The 27,521-nt window shown below is 38.0% G+C and overlaps 1 protein-coding gene across 10 annotated transcripts in view, besides 1 other annotated feature; it reads right to left on the reverse strand.

The window, feature by feature from the left end:
* Positions 1-27,521, reverse strand: part of NR3C2 (nuclear receptor subfamily 3 group C member 2) — a 366,559-nt gene that overhangs the window by 242,065 nt on the left and 96,973 nt on the right. The gene's annotated exons all lie outside the window — the stretch shown is intronic.
* Positions 2,855-3,416: an enhancer, noted in NCBI's record as "H3K27ac-H3K4me1 hESC enhancer chr4:149244835-149245396 (GRCh37/hg19 assembly coordinates)". NCBI's record gives its function as "activates a minimal SCP1, AML or CMV promoter by ChIP-STARR-seq in primed H9 embryonic stem cells {active_cell/tissue: H9 hESC(primed)}" and the evidence as "EXISTENCE:reporter gene assay evidence [ECO:0000049][PMID:30033119]".

Consider the following 27,521-nt stretch of genomic DNA (forward strand, 5'->3'; position numbering starts at 1 on the left):
CTCCTGGATTCATTAATTTTTTGAAAGGTTTTTTGTGTCTCTATTTCCTTCAGTTCTGCTCTGATTTTAGTTATTTCTTGCCTTCTGCTAGCTTTTGAATGTGTTTGCTCTTGCTTTTCTAGTTCTTTTAATTGTGATGTTAGGGTGTCAATTTTGGATCTTTCCTGCTTTCTCTTGTGGGCATTTAGTGCTATAAATCTCCCTCTACACACTGCTTTGAATGCGTCCCAGAGATTCTGGTATGTTGTGTCTTTGTTCTCATTGGTTTCAAAGAACATCTTCATTTCTGCCTTCATTTCGTTATGTACCCAGTAGTCATTCAGGAGCAGGTTGTTCAGTTTCCATGTAGTTGAGCGGTTTTGAGTGAGATTCTTAATCCTGAGTTCTAGTTTGATTGCACTGTGGTCTGAGAGACAGTTTGTTATAATTTCTGTTCTTTTACATTTGCTGAGGAGAGCTTTACTTCCAACTATGTGGTCAATTTTGGAATAGGTGTGGTGTGGTGCTGAAAAAAATGTATATTCTGTTGCTTTGGGGTGGAGAGTTCTGTAGATGTCTATTAGGTCCGCTTGGTGCAGAGCTGAGTTCAATTCCTGGGTATCCTTGTTGACTTTCTGTCTCTTTGATCCGTCTAATGTTGACAGTGGGGTGTTAAAATCTCCCATTATTAATGTGTGGGAGTCTAAGTCTCTTTGTAGGTCACTCAGGACTTGCTTCATGAATCTTGGTGCTCCTGTATTGGGTGCATATATATTTAGGATAGTTAGCTCTTCTTGTTGAATTGATCCTTTTACCATTATGTAATGGCCTTCTTTGTCTCTTTTGATCTTTGTTGGTTTAAAGTCTGTTTTATCAGAGACTAGGATTGCAACCCCTGCCTTTTTTTGTTTTCCATTTTCTTGGTAGATCTTCCTCCATCCTTTTATTTTGAGCCTATGTGTGTCTCTGCACATGAGATGGGTTTCCTGAATACAGCACACTGTTGGGTCTTGACTCTTTATGCAATTTGCCAGTCTGTGTCTTTTAATTGGAGCATTTAGTCCATTTACATTTAAAGTTAATATTGTTATGTGTGAATTTGATCCTGTCATTATGATGTTAGCTGGTTATTTTGCTCATTATTTGATGCAGTTTCTTCCTAGTCTTGATGGTCTTTACATTTTGGCATGATTTTGCAGCGGCTGGTACTGGTTGTTCCTTTCCATGTTTAGTGCTTCCTTCAGGAGCTCTTTTAAGGCAGGCCTGGTGGTGACAAAATCTCTCAGCATTTGCTTGTCTGTAAAGTATTTTATTTCTCCTTCACTTATGAAGCTTAGTTTGGCTGGATATGAAATTCTGGGTTGAAAATTCTTTTCTTTAAGAATGTTGAATATTGGCCCCCACTCTCTTCTGGCTTGTAGGGTTTCTGCTGAGAGATCCGCTGTTAGTCTGATGGGCTTCCCTTTGAGGGTAACCTGACCTTTCTCTCTGGCTGCCCTTAACATTTTTTCCTTCATTTCAACTTTGGTGAATCTGACAATCATGTGTCTTGGAGTTGCTCTTCTCGAGGAGTATCTTTGTGGCGTTCTCTGTATTTCCTGAATCTGAACGTTGGCCTGCCTTGCTAGATTGGGGAAGTTCTCCTGGATAATATCCTGCAGAGTGCTTTCCAACTTGGTTCCATTCTCCCCATCACTTTCAGGTACACCAATCAGACGTAGATTTGGTCTTTTCACATAGTCCCATATTTCTTGGAGGCTTTGCTCATTTCTTTTTATTCTTTTTTCTCTAAACTTCCCTTCTCGCTTCATTTCATTCATTTCATCTTCCATTGCTGATACCCTTTCTTCCAGTTGATCGCATCAGCTCCTGAGGCTTCTGCATTCTTCACGTAGTTCTCGAGCCTTGGTTTTCAGCTCCATCAGCTCCTTTAAGCACTTCTCTGTATTGGTTATTCTAGTTATACATTCCTCTAAATTTTTTTCAAAGTTTTCAACTTCTTTGCCTTTGGTTTGAATGTCCTCCCGTAGCTCAGAGTAATTTGATCGTCTGAAGCCTTCTTCTCTGAGCTCGTCAAAGTCATTCTCCATCCAGCTTTGTTCCGTTGCTGGTGAGGAACTGCGTTCCTTTGGAGGAGGAGAGGCGCTCTGCTGTTTAGAGTTTCCAGTTTTTCTGTTCTGTTTTTTCCCCAACTTTGTGGTTTTATCTACTTTTGGTCTTTGATGATGGTGATGTACAGATGGGTTTTTGGTGTGGATGTCCTTTCTGTTTGTTAGTTTTCCTTCTAACAGACAGGACCCTCAGCTGCAGGTCTGTTGGAATACCCTGCCCTGTGAGGTGTCAGTGTGCCTCTGCTGGGGGGTGCCTCCCAGTTAGGCTGCTCGGGGGTCAGGGGTCAGGGACCCACTTGAGGTGGCAGTCTGCCCGTTCTCAGATCTCCAGCTGCGTGCTGGGAGAACCACTGCTCTCTTCAAAGCTGTCAGACAGGGACATTTAAGTCTGCAGAGGTTACTGCTGTCTTTTTGTTTGTCTGTGCCCTGCCCCCAGAGGTGGAGCCTACAGAAGCAGGCAGGCCTCCTTGAGCTGTGGTGGGCTCCACCCAGTTCGAGCTTCCTGGCTGCTTTGTTTACCTAATCAAGCCTGTGCAATGGCGGGCGCCCCTCCCCCAGCCTGGCTGCAGCCTTGCAGTTTGATCTCAGACTGCTGTGCTAGCAATCAGCGAGACTCCGTGAGTGTAGGACCCTCCGAGCCAGGTGCGGGACATAATCTCGTGGTGCGCCGTTTTTTCAGCCCGTCGGAAAAGCGCAGTATTCGGGTGGGAGTGACCCGATTTTCCAGAAGCCGTCAGTCACCCCTTTCTTTGACTCGGAAAGGGAACTCCCTGACCCCTTGTGCTTCCCAAGTGAGGCAATGCCTCGCCCTGCTTCGGCTCGCACACGGTGCGCGCACCCACTGACCTGTGCCCACTGTCTGGCACTCCCTAGTGCGATGAACCCGGTACCTCAGATGGAAATGCAGAAATCACCGTCTTCTGCGTCGCTCACGCTGGGAGCTGTGGACCGGAGCTGTTCCCATTTGGCCATCTTGGCTCCTCCCCTCTATCTCATTTTTAAAGAGTCTTCAATCCCAAGCTTTTCTAAGCCTTATATAATCTAAAATGTTTGTATCTGTCTCCATTTCACAAATTTCTCACCTCTGCCCTCTAGGTGTTTCCACCAAGAACAAATCTAAATCCTGGTGCAAATGACAAGCAGCTGGTGAGACCATCATCTACCACCATCACATTATCTTCCTATATGCTCCATGATTAACCAGAGAAAACAGCATCAACCTGAGAAAGACTATACATCCTTAACTGGATAAAGAGCCATACTACGTCTTTAGATTCCATATATAAATAAGGTCGCACGGTATTTGTCTTTCTGTGTCTGGCTTATTTCATTTTATGTAACATCCTCCAGATTCATCCATGTTGTCGCAAATGGCAGGACTTTTTTCTTTTTTAAGACTGAATAATATTCCTCTGTGTGTGTGTGTGTGTGTGTGTGTGTGTGTGTGTTTGTGTGTGTGTTCCTGTGTGTATGTGTCTGTATTGCACATTTTCTTCATCCATTCATCCACTGACCAACACTTAGGTTGTTTCCATATCTTGGCTACTGTGAATAATGCTGCAAACTCAGAGAGGCAGAGAGTAGAAGAGTGGTTGGCAAGACTGCAGGGAGAGGAAAATGGGGAGTTGTTGATCAAAGAGTACAAACTTTCAGTTATAAGATAAATAAGTTCCAGGAACCTAATATACAGCATGGGGACTACAGTTAATAATACTGTATTATATACTTGAAATTTGCTGAGAGTAAATCTTAAGTGTTTTCACCACCAAAAAAACCCCAAACTGATTACCACATGAGGTGATGGATATAATAATTAGCCTTATTGTGGTACTCATGTCATATCAAAACATATTTCATATCTTAAATATGTACAATTTTTATCCATTATATCTCAGAAAAGCTGGGAATGGGGGGAAGAATCATCCTGCCTGCCTTAACAAGTATCGTAGAAATCTTTTTGTTGTTCACTGCCACAAACCAGTAAATTAAAGACATAGCAAAATATCTGTGACAAAAGTCAAACATTGCTTTACAAATTACATGGGCATGAGAGAGAAAACCAATATCATATTAGAGGCATATCTACAAATGACTGGATTATTCGTATAACCATAAATTTATCATGAAAATTCTCTAATACAAGCATCATGAGATCTGTTGCTATAACTAAGCAAGGAGCATAGTGGAGAGACAGAGAGAGAGAGAGGGAGAGAGAATGAGAGAGAGAGAGAGACAGAGTGTGTGTGTGTGGTGTGGGGAGAGTACAAAAATAATCACACATTTTCATCACTCAAAGTTCTCTCAGTTCTGCTATCAAATAGCTTCATAACTTTGAGCAAGACATCTTTGGCCTTGTATCCTCATCTGCAAAATGATGTCCTTACATACTACATATTACAATTCACCAAAATTACAAAACGTGGGAGAAAAATAAGCAAAGTAACTAAAGTTGCAGAGCAGCCTCTGTGTATGTGTGTTTTAACTTCTCTCTTTTTTTAATCTCTAGTACTTTGTCCCTGTTGTTTGCCTCAACATCTAGGTAAGTTGTAGGTCAGTGAGAAAGAAATGGATGTAAGGCTAGCATGAAGTTATGACATTACATTAATGTGCAGTAACACTGCTTGAAATCTTAGTATTCTCTCCTGACAGTAGAGGTATTTCATACATGTGATTATCATCTACCAAGTGCGTTACTGCATAAAAAGGGTAAGATCAAAACAGATTTAAACATACATAATTTATTCACCAGGGAGAGAAAACCCAGACTTCTACTTTTACTGTTGGGTACACAGCCGGTAGCAAATGGTAAGTTTTTCCCCAATGACTGTATCAACAAAACCACATACCTCCCCTTACCTATGTAATCAAATGATTGATTATCCTTCAGTATATCTGGGGGTGAATCCTTACAGTAGATGTTATCCAATATCTTGTTTTATTTTTTCCATTAAGTAGGAGATACACACAGACGTGTGCTAGTTTGGATGCATTTATCAGATTCTGTAAGTTTTTAATTTTGTTCACTGAATCACAAGATTGTTAAGATGTTTGGAGACAAAATAATTTGATCCCCAAAAATATACTTAATTGCTAACTTATTATTCAATTTTAACATGAAATTCAACCAGCAAGATCAATGGACGCAGGTTGGGGTAAAAACTACAGATGTTTCATTTTAAAATACTTTTTGGGCCGGGTGCAGTGGCTCACGCCTGTAATCCAAGCACTTTGGGAGGCTGAGGCGGGAGGATCACAAGGTGAGGAGATCGAGACCATCCTGGCTAACATGGTGAAACTCTATCTCTACTAAAAATACAAAAAAAAAAAAAAAAATTAGCCGGGCATGGTGGCAGGTGCCTGTAGTCCCAGCTACTCAGGAGGCTGAGGCAGGATAATGTCATGAACCCAGGAGGCGGAGCCTGCAGTGAACTGAGATCATGCCACTGCACTCCAGCCTGGACGACAGAGCGAGACTCCATCTCAAATAAATAAATAAATAAATAAAATAAAAAATAAAAAATAAATATTTTTGAAGCATCTGTATAAGCTATTTGTAAAGTTTAAAGTTGCCCATGTTAGTGTTCCAAGGTGAGAGCTTTCTTCAGAGAAAAGGAAAAGGTGACACATAGCTAGAGGTGGTCCAGACTAGTGTTTTATTATTGCCCATTATTTTATTGTTTTAATAGTAGGCAAGTTGTCAATCTTTAAAAGTCCAACTCTTCAAGTTTTTTTTTTCTTTAGGGCTTGCAGGATTTTGACACCAACTGTTTACATAACATATAAATTTAAATGATACATTAGAGACAAGGACGACAGAGTTAACCTTTGTGATGGTGAAGCTTCACCACTACTAACAATGTCTTCCTTTCATGAAGGAAGCTTGTGCCACAGGGCTTAGGTATTCCATTGTCTAATTCTCACAGCTAAATATTTTTATTTTTTCCCAAAAAATTAATCTGCTGTGTAAATTAATAGAAAAGGAAAATTCAAAGAGCTCAGTAATACAAATACCACTAAAATATACTTTAAAAACATAATTTTAAAAGATCTAAAATAATACTTAAAATTCTTCTTTATGGATATACCATCCAAGAAAAGTCCACGGTTGAATAAGAATTATTTTTGATTATTCAGTTCTAGAGTTTCAGATCTACGTAAGTACACGTTACATAATGGGGAGAAATTAAAATTAAATTGGAAAAAGATGTGAGAGGGGTTAGGGTATTAATCTTCAATAATTGGTATAGCTCAACAGGAATATAAATAAAAATATCTTATTTCCTCAATTCTAAGTCATGATTAGTGGTACAATGCAGCACTGATTTGTCTGGAAAAAAAGAAACCTATATTATGTTCTTATTGACAGAAAGAAATATTTCAATTTCTGAAACATCAAAAACTGGAGGGGAGGTTTTAAAAGTACAGTTTAAAATTAAGGATATGTAACTACCTTGGTTGAGGATAAGTGAATCCTGAAATGCGAGTTCAACCTTATACAGTCTCAATCTAAAAACAAAAACAAAAAGAAACCCTAATCGGATCCTGGGGACAATTACTGTGGCAACTGTGTGTTCTGGAGCACCTCTAAAGGTATGGAATGCCTGTTCTTCCCCATAGTCAGTAATCAGTTGATAACATCCAGGCACTGGAGCTCCCAAAGTCCCTCTGCAATGACCTCCTAATGATTTTACTAAAGGAAGTGATAAGAGTGATGGAACAGTAGTGCATATGCTTGAACAAAGGGCTTGAACAAGAGTGGGTGCATGCTGTCACAGCAAGCAAATGCAAATTGTTGTTCTTGCTAGTGGTTGACATATTAATACTACTACCAAGCTGAGATGAAATTGTTTGGTCTCATCTCTCAGCACAGACTTAACCTGCTTGGCTTTAATCTCTCAGGTTCTGTTATATCTGCCCTCTCACATACACCCTCTGACCTACATGCAGGGCTATACAGCTTAACCAGACAGCATCATGTGCACCTGCATATTAATGGCAAGGTGCTTTCCTATTCTTAGCCCTTAAAGCCTCTTCCTTTTCATGGGGGGATTTTAGTCTTTGCAGTTGTCTTTTGTTGCCTTAATACTATGCCCCAGCTTGTCCATTTCCAGAGGCAACAGAGGGCCCCAGGAGCTCTGGGTTTAACTTCAACACCGGCTTGCTGCCAGGACTCTGCCATTTGTAGCCAAGGCTCCATTTGCTAAACCAATGACTGCAGTGATGAGGAAAGAGGTGGCAGCAGCCGTGGGAGGAATGGATCCTTCTACTGCCCTCTTTGCCTGTAGCAGCATAAACCCACATAGTACAGTGGCATGAAATGGCTGCAGATTCTATTTCCCAATGCAGAGGAGAGGGGAAGGAGGTAGAGGAGGAGGAATCAGCATGGGAAGAAGGTATGCGTAGGGGAAAGAAAGGCATTCATGTGACACAAGACAGATCTGCTCCCCACATGAAAACTTCACAAATTCTCATTCTTACAAGGTGGACACAATTATGTTCAAAAGGGAGAAAAGATACAAAGCCAAAGCCCTGACTTTCAAGTAGATCCTAGCATCTTCCTTGGTCTTCCCCTGCCAAAGAAACAGAAATGGTAACCAACTCAGGTTGGCATAAAAGGAATCAGAGGAGACCTCACCATGCCCCCCTCAAAAGACCTCTCCTGAATAACAGCAACCAAACTTCTTGTCCTCTCCTCTGTATTCAGGAGTTATCTACCCAGCCAATCTAGATTCTTACATTGGTATCCTTTGGTCTAATTAGTAAAGAGGTCATCATTAATACAGAACTGTATTCAACTCTCAATTAACAAAGGGAAGAAATTAATAACAGGTTAAGTACCACCAATGAGCCTGGGGCTGTGCTGGCTTAAAGAATTTATTCAAAGCCTCGCAGCCAGTACATGGTGAAGGATAAATTCTAACCCAGGGCTTTCTGAGTCCAGATGAATTCTTGGTGATTTCAAAGCCAGACTTCAATGTGCAGGTTCACTGAGTCTCCAAATATACTTCTGCTAGATTTCTTGATGATAAAACTACATTATTTTCTCCCCTTTCATTCATTACCATTGTAGACATCTAAAACCTCTAAAATTATTTTAAAAACTAGAAAATAAGATGGTGCGAGGAAGGTCAATCATAGGTCAAAATTGCAAAAGCCTTCAGGGGTCTGGAAGCTGGTCACATACATGATGAAACCAGCCTGAGTGTGAGACTCCAGGGCACATAGGGGCCCTGGTGAATGGAGTAGCATGGTGATATCCCTCAACCCCCAAGGGCACAAGGTCTACAGAATTTTCCAATGTAAGAACCATGAGTGTTGTGTATTTATCTTTTATGCATCTTTCTTTTTCTGTTCTTTCTCTGCCACTGATTCAATCTCAGAATGCACTAAAGTGAATATATATGTATATACACATGCATATATATACACATATATGCACATATATATACACAATGCACTTAAGCCCCTAACTCCTAATTTTATACAAATCATCTAAAATGGAACATCTTCATTTTCTAAGTCATTCAAAGAACAATTAGGATTTCTTTCATTTACATTATTTACAGATTCTACACTTTTTGTTTCCTTCTAAAACTTCACTGCCCTTTTTTCCACAGTACATATTTTTCATTACAAGAGTTATTTGTTAAATGGTAATGCTTTTAAGTAATAAAAAAAGGAAAAAGGACAACTGCCATTTGCTAAACATCCACCATGTAGACATTCACATACAACAGCTTCATGCAACTCCTGCAAAAACTTTAAGTTATTAGGACTTTCTACATTTTATAGGTAAGGAAACTAAAGTTGAGAACGTTTAAGCAATTTGCCCAAGATGATGGAGGCTGGACTTGAATTCCGAACAATTCTAAAGGCAACAATTCGCTCAGTTAAAAATACGGAGTGATTTTTCCATGAACTTTAATCGTTAACTGGAGAAGTTATAACTAAACATGTTAGTTTAACTTGAAACCTAAGTCACAAGTAGGTGTTGAATGGGTTGTTCGCTCTAATCACTTGAGCAGTTCCATGTCTGGCCAATGATCCCCTGGTATCTATTTCTGACCAGCCAGGGAGGCTGCACTACAACAATGTCAACATTTCTGCAATGCTATTTTGGAGATAAGTACTTAAAAAATGAATGAGTTGAAAATTCAACTGGGGGTTTCTAAGGTTTAATCTCTCATCTAGAAAATATCTTGGTGTTAATGCAAGTAGAAAAAAATAACAGGCCTTTTAACACCTCGACACTGTTTTTGTCTTCATAAGACTCAGCAAATAGTAACTAATTAATCCTAATGAAAGCCCCACAATACACGTCAGGTTGGAATTCATTCTCAATAGGCATCTACAAACCACACAAGTTGAGGTTTCACAATTGACGACGCCTCTGGCCCACACACACTATGAATTACAGCCTTAGAAGCACAACTGGTCCATCCAAAGTCCTGATGAAATAACCAGCTCTATTTTATCGATTTATAGCCCAGTGATTCACAGAGGTCCCAGCAGGCTCTCTCCTTGCCAATATTGTAGCATCCTAGAAAACAACCCTCTTCCTGTGACAAGCAGGGGCAACCCAATTTAGACATTAAAATGTAGTCTTTTTATATCCTGTAAATATTTTTCTTTCACTGATTTTAATAAATAAAGACTAAAGAATATGTCACACACTTTTAACCTGTAGGCCTATGTTTCGCACTAATGTGAAATACTCTAACACTGTTATTCTCCCATTTGACTTTATATTCAAAGGTTTACACACGTTGTATATGATATGCTTTGGATTATCTGTCCCCTCCAAATCTTGTGTTGAAATGTAATCCCCAGTGCTGGAGTTGGGGCCTGGTGGGAGGTTGTCTGGATCATGGGGGCGGATCCCCTCATAAATGGCTTGGCACCATTCCCTTGGCGATGAGATAGTCCACATGAGATCTGGTTGTTTAAAAGTCTGGGTCCTTCCCCCTCTGTCTTGCTCCAGCTCTTGCCATGTGACTCACCTACTCCACCTTCACCTTCCGCCTTGATTTTAAGCTTCTTAAGGCCCTCACCAGAAGCAGATACTGGCATTATGCTTCCTGTGCAGCCTCCAGAGCCATAAACCAATTAAACCTCCTTCCTTTATAAAATTACCCAGTCTCAAGTATTCCTTTATAATAATGCAAATGGACTAATTCAGTATATAAAGGAAATACATATATTGTCCAAAATGGGTCAATAGATCTAATCCCAAACTTTGTCATCCATAAGGTTACTTGACAAGTGCAAAAGGAAAAAAAATATGTCATTTTGCTAGTAGTAAAAGTTATACCTAGAAATCTTTGACATTTTCTTCTTATAAGAAAAAAGCAGCAGGTGGGATAAACGAAAAACTAAAATGAATATGAAAAAAGATTTCCCAAGCATGAAAAGAATTTGCAGAGCAAGAGTTTAGGAAAAATCCCCTCACAGGGCTACATCCATCAACATAATGGTGCAGTATAAAGAGGCAACAATGCCTTTCAAGTGTAAATATTACATTTAATGGCCAAGGTAATTCTCCTGATTCAAAAAAGTAAAGACACATCAATTAGAAAACTTACATATCAGAGGTATTCCCAGGATGAAAGTTACATAAAGTATATATCCACAAAGTACAGTTTAAATTGAACTTTTTCTTCTACACTTATGTAAAAATTCTACAAATCCTATGAAAAACTGCCATTTCCATAAATATATATGCATAGACTTTCATTTTGGAAACAGAAAGAAGCTTCCTACTAAAGAGAAGTGGTGACAAGGTGAAGAGAGATAGTATCTATATATTCTGATGTTTCACATCCAGATGAACAAAGGGTGTGATAAGATGAAGCATAAAATCTTACAGAGGACAAGTGAACTTGTCACATACCAAGTACCATCTCTTATTACTGAATAATAAGAAAAACTCAACTCTCACCTTGGTGCTCATTCATTCTTCTTCACAGCTCCATCTCACAAGGTTGAAGAGGTGCAGTAAGAGTATCTGCTTTATACATTATTTGCTTTAAAAAATTCTAAAAGTTTGATGGTTTATAAGAGTATTAAAAGGAAATTTAGGAGAATCATTCCATAAACTCTGAATTGGAAAGAATTTTCTGAAAGCAGAAATACTAAAGATACTTACAAACTTGAAAATAGTATTAATACAAAATATCTTTATAAAACTATTAAAAAGAAGTATTGTGATAATCAACACACTAAAAATCATTGAATTCTATACTGAGTGAATCGTATAGTATGTGAATTATATCTAAATAAAACTCAGAAAAAGAAATATGTTCAATAAATCTATGCAAGCATATAATCATGGCAACAAATAACTGCAAATAATAACTACATCACTTTTTTGCCTGAGATTATAGTACTTATAATGATCACTACCTCTGGTAACGTAAATGGATTCAATCTTTTAGGAGGACATTTTTTGTTTTAAAATTTAAACCATTATGATATAACCTTTGATGTACAATCGACTGGGAATGTCTTTTTTCCCTAATACTTAGACAATATCTCTATGAATATACGTCCCTCCCATTTATCAAGTTTGGGAGAACATGCACAAACATTTCTTAGCAATAGTTATCTCTGAGAGGTTTGTTTGCTTTTGCTTTTTTATTTGTGTCAAGATGCTCCGTACCAAAATGGCTACCAGACTGTCCTTGGTATGCTAACATCTGCAAAGCATCTTAGTCAAAACATCTCACATGCATAGCAAGACAAGGGTAATATTTCCATGTAACCTTAGAGCCTTGCCTCCCACACCAAGATACTGGTGTTACAAAGAGCACATGGTGCAATGGAGTGTTAGAGGTAGTCATGGGATACAAGTAGTACATCTTTATGGAATATCAATTTTATTTGGTTTTAGACAAGGTTTTGATTTTCTTCCAAAGAGTTCTTTTGGAGGGTGTGTTAGAGTGTGTATGTGTATGTGTTTCGACATAAGGCTATACATAAAATCCCTACTTTTCCATGTGTTTTAACTTTGTGTATTTTTCATTAAAAAATAACAAGACACACACTCTGGATAAAAAATAACTTTCTGGCTGGGCACAGTGGTTCAAGCCTGTAATCCCAGGACTTTGGGAGGCCAAGGTGGGCAGATTGCTGGAACACAGAAGTTCGAGACCAGCCTGGGCAACAAGGAAAAACCCCCTTTCTACTAAAAAAAGAAAAAAAAAATTAGCCAGGCATGGTGATATGTGCCTGTGGTCCCAGCTACTCACGAGGCTAAGGTGGGAAAACTGCTTGAACCCGGGAGATGGAAGTTGCAGTGAGCCAAGATCACACAATGACACTGCACTCCAGTCTGGGCCACAGAAAAAATAAAAACCAAGAAAAGAAAACCTTTCTATGTTATGAAAAACTAGAAAAGTTCTCATTTTTGTATCATCAACTGATCTCTAATAATTAGTCTCCCATTCCTAGGAAAAACAAACAAACAAACAAACCTCTGATTTTAAGCTGGGCACATTGCTGACTACCTAAAAGACTACATTTACCAGTTTCCTTTGTAGCTAGATATAACCATGTGACTAAGTTCTAGCCAATAAGATATAAGCACAGCTATCTCCTGGAACTTCCAGAAAGTCTCCTTAAAATCTCCCTAGTGATTGGAGAATGAAAAGTTGGAAGGACCACGAGTCTCCAAAGATTATGCCAAGTCCCACATGCTAGTCCCACACAGTCACCTCCTAGGTTCTTCTACATGAGAGACACATTTTTTTTGTATCTATAACTGAACCTACCCCTAGCTGATATAAAATCAAGAAAAGCAAGGCAGTATTAGTGCAAGAGTTGTTTCAAAGTGAGCCAGACAAGTTTTTGTCACAAGAACAGACTGTGTCTAGGACCCTGCCCGCTGGACCAGTTCTAGTCCCTGGGAATAAAAAAGCTGGAATTAGCCATTTCAAGGCTAGTCCTAGAAAGCCTGCAAAACTAGCTTTTTCTTAAAACTAGCTTGGAAAGACTGGACAAAAACCATGTTATTTCTACTTTCAATTATACAAAATCTATTTAAAAATAAATTTAAAATTTATTTTCAACTGAGAATATGGTTTGATAATTAGAAAACGAATTGTGAAGTTGAAATAACTTTGGAGAATATGACAGACAATAAGGTGGACTTCCCAACAACCAGATGTCATGAAGTACCGTAACTGACTTGAGCATAAAGATTACAGAAGTCTTCAGAAAAATTATGAAGAATACTAGGAACATTTATGGATAAAATGAGACAGGCTTTGATTTAGAGAAAGTACAAAAGCACACAAAAAAATTTGCTTAAAGCATCTTTCAAGGCTATAGAACTTACACAAATGGACCAGGCGCGGTGGCTCACGCCTATAATCCCAACGCTTTGGGAGGCCTAGGTGGGTGGATCACCTGACGTCGGGAGTTCGAGATCAGCCTGGCCAACATGGCAAAACCCCATCTCTTCTAAAATTACAAAAATTAGCCAGGTGTGGTGGCACTTGCCTGTAATCCCAGCTACTCACAAGGCTGAGGCAGGATAAATGCTTGAACTGGGAAGTGGAGGTTGCAGTGAGCGGAGATCGCGCCACTGCACTCCAGCCTGAGTGACAGAATGAGACTCCATCTCAAAAACAAACAAACAAACAAAAAAACTTACACAAATGAGGAAGTACACACAACAAATTCTGGCATTGATGTGGCCATAATATGTTCTAGATGGCAAAGAAAAGGAACAACCAATGTAAAAGGTTAAAAAAAGTGTCTGTAGCTATCAAACAGATTATCTTAAAACATTCTTGAACTAGTGTATTAGTTTGCTAGGGCTGCCTTAAAGAACCACAAACAAGGTGGCTTAAACTACAGGAGAATTTATTCTCTCTACTTTAGAGGCTAGAAGTCCGAGTTCGAGATGTTAGCAGGGTTGGGTTCCTTCTGAGAGTTATGGGGGAGAATCTGCCCCCTGCTTCTCTCCTCGCTTCTGGTGTTCTGTGGCAATCTTTAGCCTTCTGGGCTTCTGCTGCATCACTCTAATCTCTGCCTTCATCTTTACATGACATTCTCGCTCCGTGGGTATCTGTGTCCCAATTTCCCCTTTGTATAAAGATTCCAGTTATATTACATTAGGGGCCACTCTATTCCAGTATGACCTCATTGTAACTAATTATATCTGCGATGACTTTATTTCCAAACAAGGTCACATTTGATATATTAGGTGTTAGGATTTCAATCTATGAATTGGGGCAGGAGTCAGGGTGGGAGAAGATAATTCAGCCCATAACAACTGGTAACAGACCAAGTGATTCTAATTCTTTCCCATTATAGCTGGATTAAAGCTGGTGGATGTTAACAATGTACCATTTAATTTTGATCATTGACTTCTGTATTTATTTATCAACATCTATGAGACATGTAAACTTACAAAGTAGATGATTGCGAAAGAACTGAAATAAATACTAAACAAATGTTTAACTAAATAGGAATTTCTCGTAATGAGAAAATTTCTAGACATGCGCAGATGGAGGCCACATCCCAAGCAGGTAAAACTACAGGAGTGATCGCCTGCAGAAGAACTACTGTTCAGTCTGGACACAACAGCAGCCATTGAATCATCCAATGAGAGCATCATCTCAAGTACTTCAGAGTGCCCAATGTGTTCGGCTAAATTGGTAAAATTTATTTAAAGTAATATTAGAATTGCTTGAATATTCATTATTTTTAAAAATTTGAAAAAGAAAATGATTTGACAGGCTGCCCTCCTCACTACACAGCTGTACCCCCTCGAATGTTCTAGTCAGTTTTCAATTTCAGGGTTAGAGAACATTTTTGCTATGTGTCTAAAAAGTAATTAAAAAAAAAAACTTTGTAACCTATAACGCTACTTCTGAGACTTTAAGAAAATCATAGAGAAAAATGTTTATACACAAAAATTTTCACTGTAGTGTTATTTACAACACAGAAAACAATGAAAAAAACAGTTGTCAGAGAAAATGGAATGGTTAGAAAACCATAGTATACCCAAGTATATCATGCAAAACCACAGTATACTATGCAACTGAGATTGAATAACGTATGAAGTTATTGATTTTTGTTTTGTGACCTTCCTCTAATTCCTTTTCTCCCCAAAGGCCAAGCATGCTATTTCCCTCTCTTGCCTTGAGTGATAGTGTCTCAGAGAGTCAGAGAGAGCCGTCCCTCACAGACAACCTGATTTCCCGACATCTTCTGGCAGCCTGTGCTCCTAGAAGGGATCAGAACAAGTGTTCCTACGGGTGGCAAGGGAAGCATGCCTTTGAGAGCTGCAGGATAATGGCAGCACTAAAGCTATCTGTGTTAAGAATAGGGAAGACCTAAGGCAGTGGCGGCACTCTAGGAAAAAGGGCTACATGCTAGGATTATGCAGGCAGAGCCCCGAGCTCCAGAGGTCACAGATCTGACAGGATTCCCATGCCCAGGAGGGCTCCAAAGACATGGAGCCATCAAACTCCAAAGGATCTCAAGGACTTCAAAGTGCCCAATGTGTTCAGCTAAATTGGTATGATTTAGCCGAACTTGGATAAATGGGAACTTGGATAAATGGGATAAATGGCGGCTTGGACAATGGGGACTTTAGTGGCGAGAGCATAATTGGGGGCCTACACAGTGCTATGTTAAGACCCTCATATACACACACCATGGAATCTTTGCAAGGCCCCAGGAGAAGTAAGCTACAGCTGAGAAATTGAACATCCCTCTCCCTAACCTGACAGAACAGAGTTTTCTAGATTTTGGATGAAAGCAAGTACAGGTATCTTACATAGCCTAGTTTGTGGATTAAGAATCATATGTATTACCTAATCATTAAAATGATATAAAAACATAATTAGGCCAAGTTTTGATTTGTTTTTTTCTTTTTCTTTGAGACAGGGTCACACTCTGTTGCCCAGGCTGAGTGTAGTGGCATGATCACGGCTCACTGTAGCCTCCAACTCCCAGGCTCAAGCAATCCTCCTGCCTGAGCCTCAGGAGTAGCTGGGACTACAGGCATATGCCATTGTGCCTGACTAATTTTTTTTACATTTGTTGTAGAGATGGGGTCTTCCCATGTTGCCCAGGCTGGTCTTGAACTCCTAGGCTCAAGTGATCCTCCCACTGTGGCCTCCCAAAGTGCTGGGACTACAGGCGTGAGCCACCACACCCAGCCACGAAGTTTTCATACTGTAATATTATGGAGAAAAAAGGCAGAATACAAAAATATATGGAAATATGATAACACACATTGTTGTTGTTTTAAAGCACACAGGAAAAAAGTCTATGAGGAAATATATCAAATGCCAATACCTGCTGTTTCCTCTTTTTCAGTGGCATGGGAAGAGGTGACATTGTTTCTTTTTTCTACAATAAGGATATCTTACTTTTAAAAATAAGAAACTATTCAAAATGAACATGTGATTAGAATATTCTTCCCTTTCAAACCTAAGTCAAGTTGACTGTTGGTTCACATGGCATTCTGATTATTTTATTATTCCTGACATTCATAATACCACTTCTGACATAGAAGTTACAGTTTAGGATTGGTTTATCAAATTTTAAGCAGGGATGCTACAAAGTTGAAACATAAAGAAGAAAAGTTCTTTTTATTAATGCATTGAGTTTCAAATATATTTAACAATCAAGATTTGGTGCTAAGTTTAAACATTTATCTATTTTGTTAAAATGATTTAATTTGGTCTAATAAGCTTTGGTTTCAAGATGGGGTAAATATGCAGGTTTGGCTATCTTTTAACAACTGAAAGGAATATTAATCTTAAAAATGTTTCTATGGATGAGTAGAAATATATGGTACATTTCTAAAATAAGCTAACATTTCAGGCAAAGAAAATCCATATCCTCATTAGCACATTTATAATGCGATGATTTCAGTATACAAAATGGGACTTCACTTTCTGTTTTTGTTTTTTTGGGAAAGGACGTAGAATAAAGGGTGTTTCTACTTTTAATTTTGGAAAAATGGTATAGATGTTGGTTAAGTGCTCATAAAAACAGAAAACCTGCACTTTGTATCTTGAATTTCTCACTAGTTTTGTGATCCAGTGTAAGGTTTCCTAAACTTTACATACCTAAGTTTTTCCCTATTTGTAGCATTGGGATTAAATAAAACGGGTCTCATTAATGTACTATGTGGATTAATGCTATATGTACAGGTCATAGAGAGTTAGCACAATATATGACTCTTCTATTATTGTTATTATTTAGGAATAGGATTTGTTCTCAAAAAGGAAAGCATCCCTTCATTACAAGGAACAGAAAAACTATAATGTAACTCACAAAACTCATTTTCCCTTCAGAAATTCCTGTTATTTCTACAGTGTTAATAACTATCTTAGAAGAAAATCACTAAAGTTATCAACTTTTTCCCCTTTATTGGACTATGTAGTTACAGACAGATAATCAATGGTAAAATATTTAAAGAGCTAAATGTTATGGGATTTTTAAAAATGTTATTTCCAAAAAAGGAAAAGTACATAATGGTTTTATTTTTAAATAGTAGAGATGATGAAATCTTACTATGCACTTCATTTTGCCAGTGGTGTAAAAGTTTTCCAATGATTTATCTAGGATTGGTTTATTCATGTAAAAATCAGGTCAAAAATCAAATGATTATAGGGGTTATGCAGCTAAAATACAGGAAGAAAGTTGTCAGGATGGAACAGGGTAAGCCCATTGCTGAATGGCAACAAACCCTTGGTCACGGCACAAAGGAGCAATAGGGAATGGGGTGAATGCAGTGAACTGGAGACATGAGCCCCAAGAGGGTATCTTCTCTGGACAAGCAGGAATTCAAATCCAATAATGCTGAAAGGAATAGTCTGATCCTTCCATCCTCCCAATAACAGAAATAACTTGGTTCTAAAAGTTAGGAATTAATTTAATTAACAATAAAAGCATAGGGGCCAAACAAAACACATCTCAGGGCCAAATCTAGCACTGGTGCCAGTTTGTAAACTACAAAATAAGTGTTTCCAAACACCTAAAATATTTTCAATAACATCCCTTTTGCAGTATTTGAAGAAAAAAAAATTTAATTTTAAAAAAGTCCTTTCACTTGTGACTGAAAAGAAAAAGCCATGAGAAAATATTCAGTTCCAATTCCTATTATTTTAGTATCTGTAAGAATTAAGTATGGAAGTTGATTTAGAGAATGCAGGATTCCACCAAGTTTTACAGCCTTTGGAGGTAGATGGGTAAGACAATCTCTGTCCTAAAAGAAAAGTTAAACCTGGCAGACGATCAGCCTGGAAGGGAGACACAGAGCTATTCCAAGCACCATGGACTTTAGCTTCCCAGGGTAAGAGGATGAAAGGACCACTGTTTTAAGTTCTTAAGTAAGGCTCAGTATGCTCTGTCAGAATTCAATGAATGGCTTGACTTAAATCTTTAGATGATATACAACCACAACCTCCAGCAGGATGAGTAGGCAACTCTAAAATGATGGAGATGACATAATTCCTTTAGTAGCTAAACATTAACCCTAGAAAAATTTAGAATTAAGTACAGAAATGTCTAAAAGAATTAAAACAATCTTATTGATGCTTTTGGTCAAGTGCTATGTTCATATTTGGTAATTATAAAACATTAGTAATGTTTAAGAGAATTTGGCATATTAGAGATGAGCTGCATAATTACAACTTAAAATGCATAATGAACTAATTGATATAGACTTGTGATTTAAACTCAGATACAACGTCTATAAAAGCTTTGAAATATAAAAGAGAGAGGAAAAAAAAGTCCTTTCACTGTAAGTCCTAGCCAGAGCAATTAGACAAGAAAAATAAATAAATGACATCCAATTTGGAAGGAAGAAGTCAAATTATTCTTGTTCAAAGACAACATGGTATATTTAAGAACCTAAAAATTAGATCAAAACATTGTTAGAACCAGTAAATGAATTCAGTAAAGTTGCAGAATACAAAGTCAACATACAAAAAAATCAGTAGCACTTATATAAGCCAACAGTGAACAATTTAAAAAAGAAATTAAGAAAGCAATCTCATTTACAGTGGCTCAAAAAAAATTAAATTCCAAGGAATAAATTTAACCAAAGAAGTAAAAGATCTCTATAAGAAAAACTACAAAACACTGACGAAAGAAATTGAAGAGGACATAAAAAGGGAAGACAGCCCATGCTCGTGGATGGAAATTACTGGTATCATTAAAATGTCCCTATCAAAATACCAATGACATTCTTCACAGAATTGAAAAAAGGCAATCCTAAAATCTGTATGGAACCACAAAAGACTCCGAATAGTCAAAGTAATTCTGAGCAAAAAGAACAGAAGGGGAGGGATCACACTACCTGACTTCAAAATATACTACAAAGCCATAGTAACCCCAACAGCATAGTACTGGTATAAAAACAGACACATGGACCAATGAAAAAGAATAGAGCTAACTCACTTTTGGACAAAGGTGCCTGGAACATACATCGGAAAAAAGACAGTCTCCTTAATAAACAGTGCTAGAAAAACTGAGTAAGTACATGCAGATGAATAAAGCTAGACCCCTGTCTCTTACCATATGCAAAAAATCAACTTAAATTGAACTAACAACTTAAATCTAAGACCTGAAACTATAAAACAACTAGAAGAAACTATTAGGGAAATGCTTCTGGACACTGGCCTAGACAAAGATTTGTTGGGTAAGACCTCAAATGAACAGGCAACAAAAGTAAAAATACACAAATGGGATCCTATCAAGCTAAAAAGCTTCTGCACTGCAAAAGAAACAACAAAGAGATAACCCACATAAAGGGTTTTTTGCAAAGTATCCATGAAACAAGGGATTAATAATCAGAATATATAAGGAACTCAAACAAATAAATTTAAAAAACCAAATAATCCAATTGTTTCAAATGGACAAAACATTTGAACAGACATTCCTCAGGAGACATGGCCAACCAAAAGGTGTATGAAAAATACTCAACATCATGTATGTGCATCAGAGAAATGCACATAAAACCACAGTGAAATATCATCTCATCCCAGTTAAAATGGCTTTTATCAAAAAGACAAAAAAAAATAACAGTTGCTGGTAAGGATGAAGAGAAACGGGAACACTTGTACACTGTTGGTAGGAAGATAAATTAATACAGTCACTATGGAAAACATATGGAGACTCCTCAAAAAACTAAAGATAGAAATACCATATAATCCAGCAATGTAAAGGAAATCAGTGTATCAGAGATATCTGCACTCCCATATTTATTGCAGCACTATTCACAATAGCCCAAACTATTCAATAGCCGTGATACGTAATCAATCTAAGTGTCCAACAGATGAATGGATTTTTAAAAAGTGATACTAACAGTGGAATATTATTCGCCCATGAAAAGAATGAAATCCTGTGATTTGTAGCAATATGGATGGAACTGGAGGGCATTATATTAAGTGAAATAAGCCAGGAACAGAAAGATAAATATCATGTGTTCTCACTCATATGTGGGAACTTAAATAAAAGTGGATCTCATGGAGATAGTTGATTGGTGGTTATCTAGGCTGAGAAGGGTAGGGAGAGGGAACGACGAAGAGAGGTTGGTTAATGAGTACAAATATACAGTTAGATAAAAGGAATAAGACCTAGTGTTTGAAAGCACAGTAGGGCAACTATAATAAATATAATTTGTTGTATAGCTCAAAATTGCTGGAGGAGAATTAGAATGTTCCCAATATAAAAAGAGGTGAATGTTTGGGGTAATAAATGCCCCAATTGCCCTGGTTTGATCATTACACATTGTATGCATATATCAAAACACCACATGTACCCCCAACATAGGTACAGCTCTTATGCATCAATAAAAAAAATAAAAACAAACAAACATAAGCAGCAATGGCTACCCAGAAATAAACACCTTGCATTATATACATACAAACACCACTATTTTAATATATTCACTTATTTTTAAAGAACAAGTACTTGAAAACTAGGAAATAACTCATGCACTTATAATTGAGGTATACCCAAACCCTGCCTATTTGCAACTTAGTCAAAAACAACTGACAAGCAAAACAGCTCCTGAGCAGAAAATATTACGGTCACAACTTCACACACTGGATTTACATAGTCTCTTCTGCTGCCCTCTTCTGACTTGTCTTACTCTGGTTTTACATGTTTAGCAACCAGCCGGGGGGATGAGGGAGGGGTTGCTGAAGACAGTCCCACTGATAACAACAGAGTTAATGATACAAAAGAAGATGGCTACGAGGAGTCAAACGTCAGAGCCTGAGACCTTTGATGAAGGGTCACATCGCCAGAGCTCAGTGGATAGCGAAGTACGTGGCTTTTCTACACGGCACAATAGTTCAAACTAGTACCATAAATAACATAACACACACACACACACAGAATCACGGCCCTATGTTCTCAGGACAAAGGTGCGTGACGGTCAGCATTACATTTCAGACAGATCTCTGTTTAATTCAACAAACATTTATAGGAAATTTGTAATGCGCAAGGCCCTGAGCCATTATAAACACCTGATAAGAATTGGTTCAAGAGCTGTTGTTTTTGTAGAGTGCTCCATACATGTATTGTGATAGGTATCAAGTGGCACAAAGTGAAACAATTCTGAGTATACACCTGTATTTCATATCTGATGAAGCTCTGGTTTGCTGATCCATAATAAGCCCCTTATGAGCTAAGCTGAGCTTTCACTATAATCCGTTCCCACATATCTGAACCTGCTGTGGGGATTTTTTTAAACTGCTATTAGCAGTGACTAAAACTTCTAATCCCCTGCTATGCCTTTATTATTAACACATACAATTATTGTGCAGTAGCATTAAAGAACTGTGAAAATTTTTTATCTTATTTCTAAATCTCACCATTTTTATAACAGTAACAGTAAGATTTTCACAGAAATACTACTTCAGTCGTTTTGTCTGTATTTTTACTAGAAATTGCTTTAGCTATAAGGTTAATTGACATCTCTTACAGGGTATGAGAAACTTCAAAGTGCCTGGAATGACTCCATTACTAATGCAACTACTTCAGATATAAAGTAATCTTTCTTTAGTTTATTAAAGACAAGGACAGATTTTTAGCCCAATCCCGGAAAGAAAAATATAACCCATTTTGGAGATTAATATGGTAGCTGGATACAGAATGAAATTCATCTGACTCCACAATAATTATTAAATCAAATATCATGGCATCTTTTCCCTAATCAAACTCAGGAAAGATTACTAAGCAGCCCAAACTCTGAAAACTACAAAGCAAAGATAGATACTCATTATGCCAACTCTATAGGACTCAGGCAAAAACTGATGGCCTCATGATCAGGTGTAACTTAGCTGTCCTTCATTCTGCTGGTCCTTGTTATTTTATCTCAAGTTCACTTTCTGTGCCATTGAAAGAACTGCTAAGTAAGAGGGTTTAACCCTTTATTTTGGCCCAAACACAGGCTCATTACATCTCACGGATTCAAGTCCCAAGGCAGCAGCGGGATATCCGCCCCCCCGACCCCCCCTTTTTTTTAAATGTACTTAAACTTCAAGGGCAGAGAGGTTAGAATACTGGTTAACCTGTTCCCCAGGATGCCCATTCTGACTGGCATGCTTTTGGTCCCTGGGATTCATTAATATTATTAGGTTCATTCTTTTAAATCAATGTTTGAAGTGGGGTTGGAGGTTATGAAGCCTGGATTTCTCATTGTGATTTGCAGACAATTCAAACCTATGTTTGCTGAAACTAGAACTAAAATTTCCTTTAAATGGCAAACTAAACTCCCCCTAAGAATCATTTTAAAGGTATATGAGAAAGTTTAAAAGGTCAGATTAGGTAGCAAAAGCCACTCAGTGACAAACTCACACGCACAAACACACACTCGAAAAAAATTGCAAAGGAGAAAGAAGGTGTAATAAGTACTATTCTCCTTTTGAGGTCTGGACATTCAGAATCTTGGGGTTAAATTACAACTGCTTCATAGAAAGACAGGTTGCAGAGTGGCCTGTGGTTCAACTGAAAAAAATTCTGAGGCCAGTTGTATTACTGTTTGTTGACTCTCGAGGATAATAAGCAGGACTAATGTTGGTGACAATTCCTGACATAGCTTTAAATTAATTGCTAAATGGCAACTACCGCATAAGCTATATCTAGAGGAAGGGGGATAGACATATGTTTTATTCAAAATGTAAAGAATGGTTCCAAAGTCCTTATTCGTCTTTTTAGGACTGACTTAACTACAACAAGGAAGAGAAACTTCTACCCACTTTCTCTCTAAAATAACATAAATGGCCATTTGCAGGTTTATATTTTCAGAAATATTAATAGCTAGAGTTTTTTAAACTTTCTGAAAATACTCAAATGTATTCCTTATATTCAGGTCAACTAAAACATGATTAGAAGTATATCTAACATAGTGAAATACTGGAATTATAAGTAACGACAAAGATAATAAATCTAAACAACATAGAGACAGGATGGCTGAAAAAAGCATGAGCGTTGAAGCTAAACATCAGGAATGGAGTTCAAACTCCACTGGGAGCTACATAAACTTGGCAAGTTACTCAACCTCTGTAATTTATAAAATGGAGATACCAATATGGTCCTCAAAGTTGAATGAGATAACATACCTAAATCACCCAGTGCATTGTTTGGCACCTGGTCAGCACTCAATGAATGTTAGCTGCTATTAGCAGGAGCTGGAATACAGCCCACAGCCAGCCAGGACTTGAGTCCACATCTGTTTACCTCCACTGCTTCTCTATTATTAGTGTGAGGTCAACATTACTACTATTGTTCAACATGCTTAACATTATCAAGAGGTTTTAGACATTCTAAAAATCAGACAATTACGTATGAATTATCTTGAGAAAAAACGGGAATGACACACATTATCAAGAGTTGCATCTCTGCTGGATTTGAATCTAATACTGTAAAGAAGAGTAATTAATCCATTAAACTATCCTGTTCCTTTAAACATTATTCCAAGGCCATATAGAATTAGCAATTCTGCTTGTTTACTTTCCACTGACTAGCAGGGGATTAAAGACAAATTCAAGTTGGTTTTCAGATGCACAAAATTAAAGGTTGAGAAAACTTGGTGTTTTCAAAGCATGCATCCATGAAGGATTTCTTTTTAACTGTTCTTTCCAAAACTTTTAAACATTCAACAAAATCTCAATTTGCTTTGCTTTGTTCTTTGCTTCCAAATACTGTAAATGGCTGGATTCCAGATAGAGTAGTTATCCTCAAATGCCTTCCAAAAAGGCCTGCCAGATTCTGTGGTTCAGAAGTAATTTAAAAGTAGAAATGTGTAACAAATGAGACCTAATGGAAAACACTGGATATTTTAGTTAGTTTTTTTTTAATTTCAGAGAGAGACAATACATATACACACGTGCACATGAACATATATAAACACAGACCCATGTAAATAAGACAGAAAATGAAAAATGAGGTGGCAATGTTGTATTTCTCTATTGTAGACAATAATTGGCAAGAGTAAAAAAAATACATCGTTTTTCAATGGAAAATAAAATTCATGATGCATCTATTAACCAAACTCAACAATGACAAGTTAAAACAGAATACTTAGAATAATACAACCTCTATCTTATGGATTTATTTTTGAGGGGGGTAATCCTTTAAAGTTTACAAACCATTTTCTTACATAAGACATAATTTCTATGTATAATGAAACAGCTTTTTAATAATGACTTGTTCGAAAGAAGAAATGTTCTTCTAGTTAGTAAACTTTCTGTCACTAGGTATTCAAGCAGAAGCTGCGATGTTCCAAAGGTTATTCGTGTGCCGGAGTAAAGGTTAATTAAACCTGAGGACTTTAATACTGTGTTCTTTCTGGGTGTCTTCATTCACTCATCCTTCTAAATATTCACGAAATACTGACTACAGGCCAGGTACCTTACTACACACTACACATATGGTAGAGCAAAAGTTGGACCCAGTCCCTCCCTTCTCAGAGGTTATAGCCCAGTAAAGAAGACAAACACAAGGCTTTACAAATGATGAGAGCTATGGAGGATGTGAGGAGACCGATCTAGGCCAAGGGCAGTGAAAGACTTCTCTACCAAAACCATCTGAGGGACAAAATGAATGTTGCTACATAAGAGGAGAGGGCAGAATGCTCCAGGCAGACAATAGTGAGAGTGAGAAGTGAAGGAAAGCAAAGATAGCTGAAATGGAGAGAGGGGAGGGTGAAGCCCAGAAAGGCAGGCAGGGAAATGACCCTTGATGGATACAATAAGGCATGTTTGCACTTTATACTAAGGCAATGGAAACTATGAAAATATCTTGGGGAGACTATTAGAACAATGCAGGAATTGTGAGCAACATTGTGTTATGGCAAGAATGAAGGCAGAAAGAGCAGTTAGGAGGCTATCAACATAGCCCAGATAGAAAACGGTGGTGACATGGTCCATGGAACTGGCAATGATGGGGAACAGCGAACAGATCCTTTGTAGATGAAGGCATCTTTCATGGGATGCAAACACTGGAGGATGAGCAGGCTGGGCGAAGGAAGAGAAGAGGATATGCTTAGCTGTAGACAGGCCGAGTCTGAAGTGCTTCCTAGGAAACTGGATCATGGGTTTAGAGCCCAGTGAAAGTTATGGACTAAAGACAAATACTTGGTATTTGTGAGCCTCAGGCATACAGGTTCCCACTGTGGTAGCCACTAGCCACATGTTGTCTATGGTGCACCTGGGATACAGCTAGGGCAAAGTGAAATGTACTATAAATAAGATACATGCTACATTTCCAAGACAGTATGAAAAGGGAATGTAAGATCTCAATTTTTATACTGATATGTTGAAATAATATTTTGATATACCAGGCTAAACAAATTATAGAAATTAATTTCTTCAGTTTTTCACTTTTGTAGTGTGGCTACTAGAAAACTTACAATTACATGTCAAGTTGCATTATGACTCACATTCTATTTCTATGGGGCAGCACTGATACAGATAGTAACTGAAGTTTGGAAGAGTAAAAAGAAGCACTAATGAGAGTTTGTCTCTGATAGAATTGTGGGGTTCAACACATGGAGTGGTATGACGAGGAAGAGCTGAAAACATGGAATAAGCCGATAAAGCCAGACAATGTGGTACAGTGGAAGGCAAGAAGGCTCTGAGCAACCAGGAAGTAGACCTAAGGGTCAAATTCTGCTGTGAAGCCACGTAAGAAAAGCACTGCAAAGGATATTTAAGCTAGAACACAGGTAGAAGAACAAATGGCTTCTGAAACAGGAATAAGTGAAAAATAACTATATTACTGTAATTTAATTTTCCTGCATTTTATGTATATTTTTGTATAAATTTCCAACTTTTTGTTGCATCACCTTCCAACTGGCATGTATTTTAAATCAGCGTTTTTCACCTTTCCTTAACCCACCCATGCTTCTTGCCAACCACCCAGAAATGTTCCTCCAGTATTATTTGAAATATCAAATAGATACCATGTCTGAAAACAAATTAAAGAATAGAAAAAGTGAATACTCTATCTTCAACCGACATCTCCTTTCACCCCTTCTATTGGGTCACGTTCGCTTACCACTATAGAATCTTGGATTAGATAATCCCTACAATTCTTCAAATTCTAAAATTATGTATGTCTAGTATTAATTTCCCCATAATTCTTCATTCCATACCCAATAAAATCAGTGTTCTCTCAAGATACGCTGGCCTCAGTAAATGCACCAGTGGGAATAAACATTTGCACACTGTTTCCCTACTAACTTTCCCAAAGCGTTTATTCAACAAATGTTTACTGAGTACCTACGCATGCCCCGATGGGGCTACAGCAGTGAACAAACCAAATTTCTTGCACTCTTTGAGCTTACAACCTCATGACACAAAAATAAATACCATTCCTTCATAGTAATAATAATAATAACCAGCCAACCACCACTGCACCACTGTAGCAGCGGTGGTTTATATGGCTTACAATTTCCAATCACTACATCCTTAAGCACTTCACACCAATTACTTCATTTGAAGCTCACAACAAACTCATGAGTTACAATAGGCCACCCCTGTTTGCCTATTTTACAGATGAAAAAATCAAGGCAAAGAAAGAGAATACAGCTTCTAAAGACCTTGATCAGGATTATAAATTATCCCAGCACCATGCACTTCTCCTTTACATTACTTCCCACCCCAGGTGTTTCTGAAGAGAAGAGGAATGGACACTCTCGGTTGGTGTCTCTCTCTCCTTCCCTCTGGAGAATTTGAGAGACTGGAGCATGCAATGCTCATCTCAGAGCAGCCCGGTCTCAAGTCACACTCTGTTTTGGTAAGTCTAAATCACTTGGTTGGGGATTTAAGTTACATTCCCCCACCAGCCCTATCAGCCACAAACATGATGTTACAATATGCTCTGTCCTCCCAGAGCAGCACTTACCATGGTGGTAATTTACACTATGTGATTTATGTCCAATTCACC

This window comes from Homo sapiens, chromosome 4 (assembly GCF_000001405.40).
Source record: "Homo sapiens chromosome 4, GRCh38.p14 Primary Assembly".
Taxonomy (NCBI): domain Eukaryota; kingdom Metazoa; phylum Chordata; class Mammalia; order Primates; family Hominidae; genus Homo; species Homo sapiens.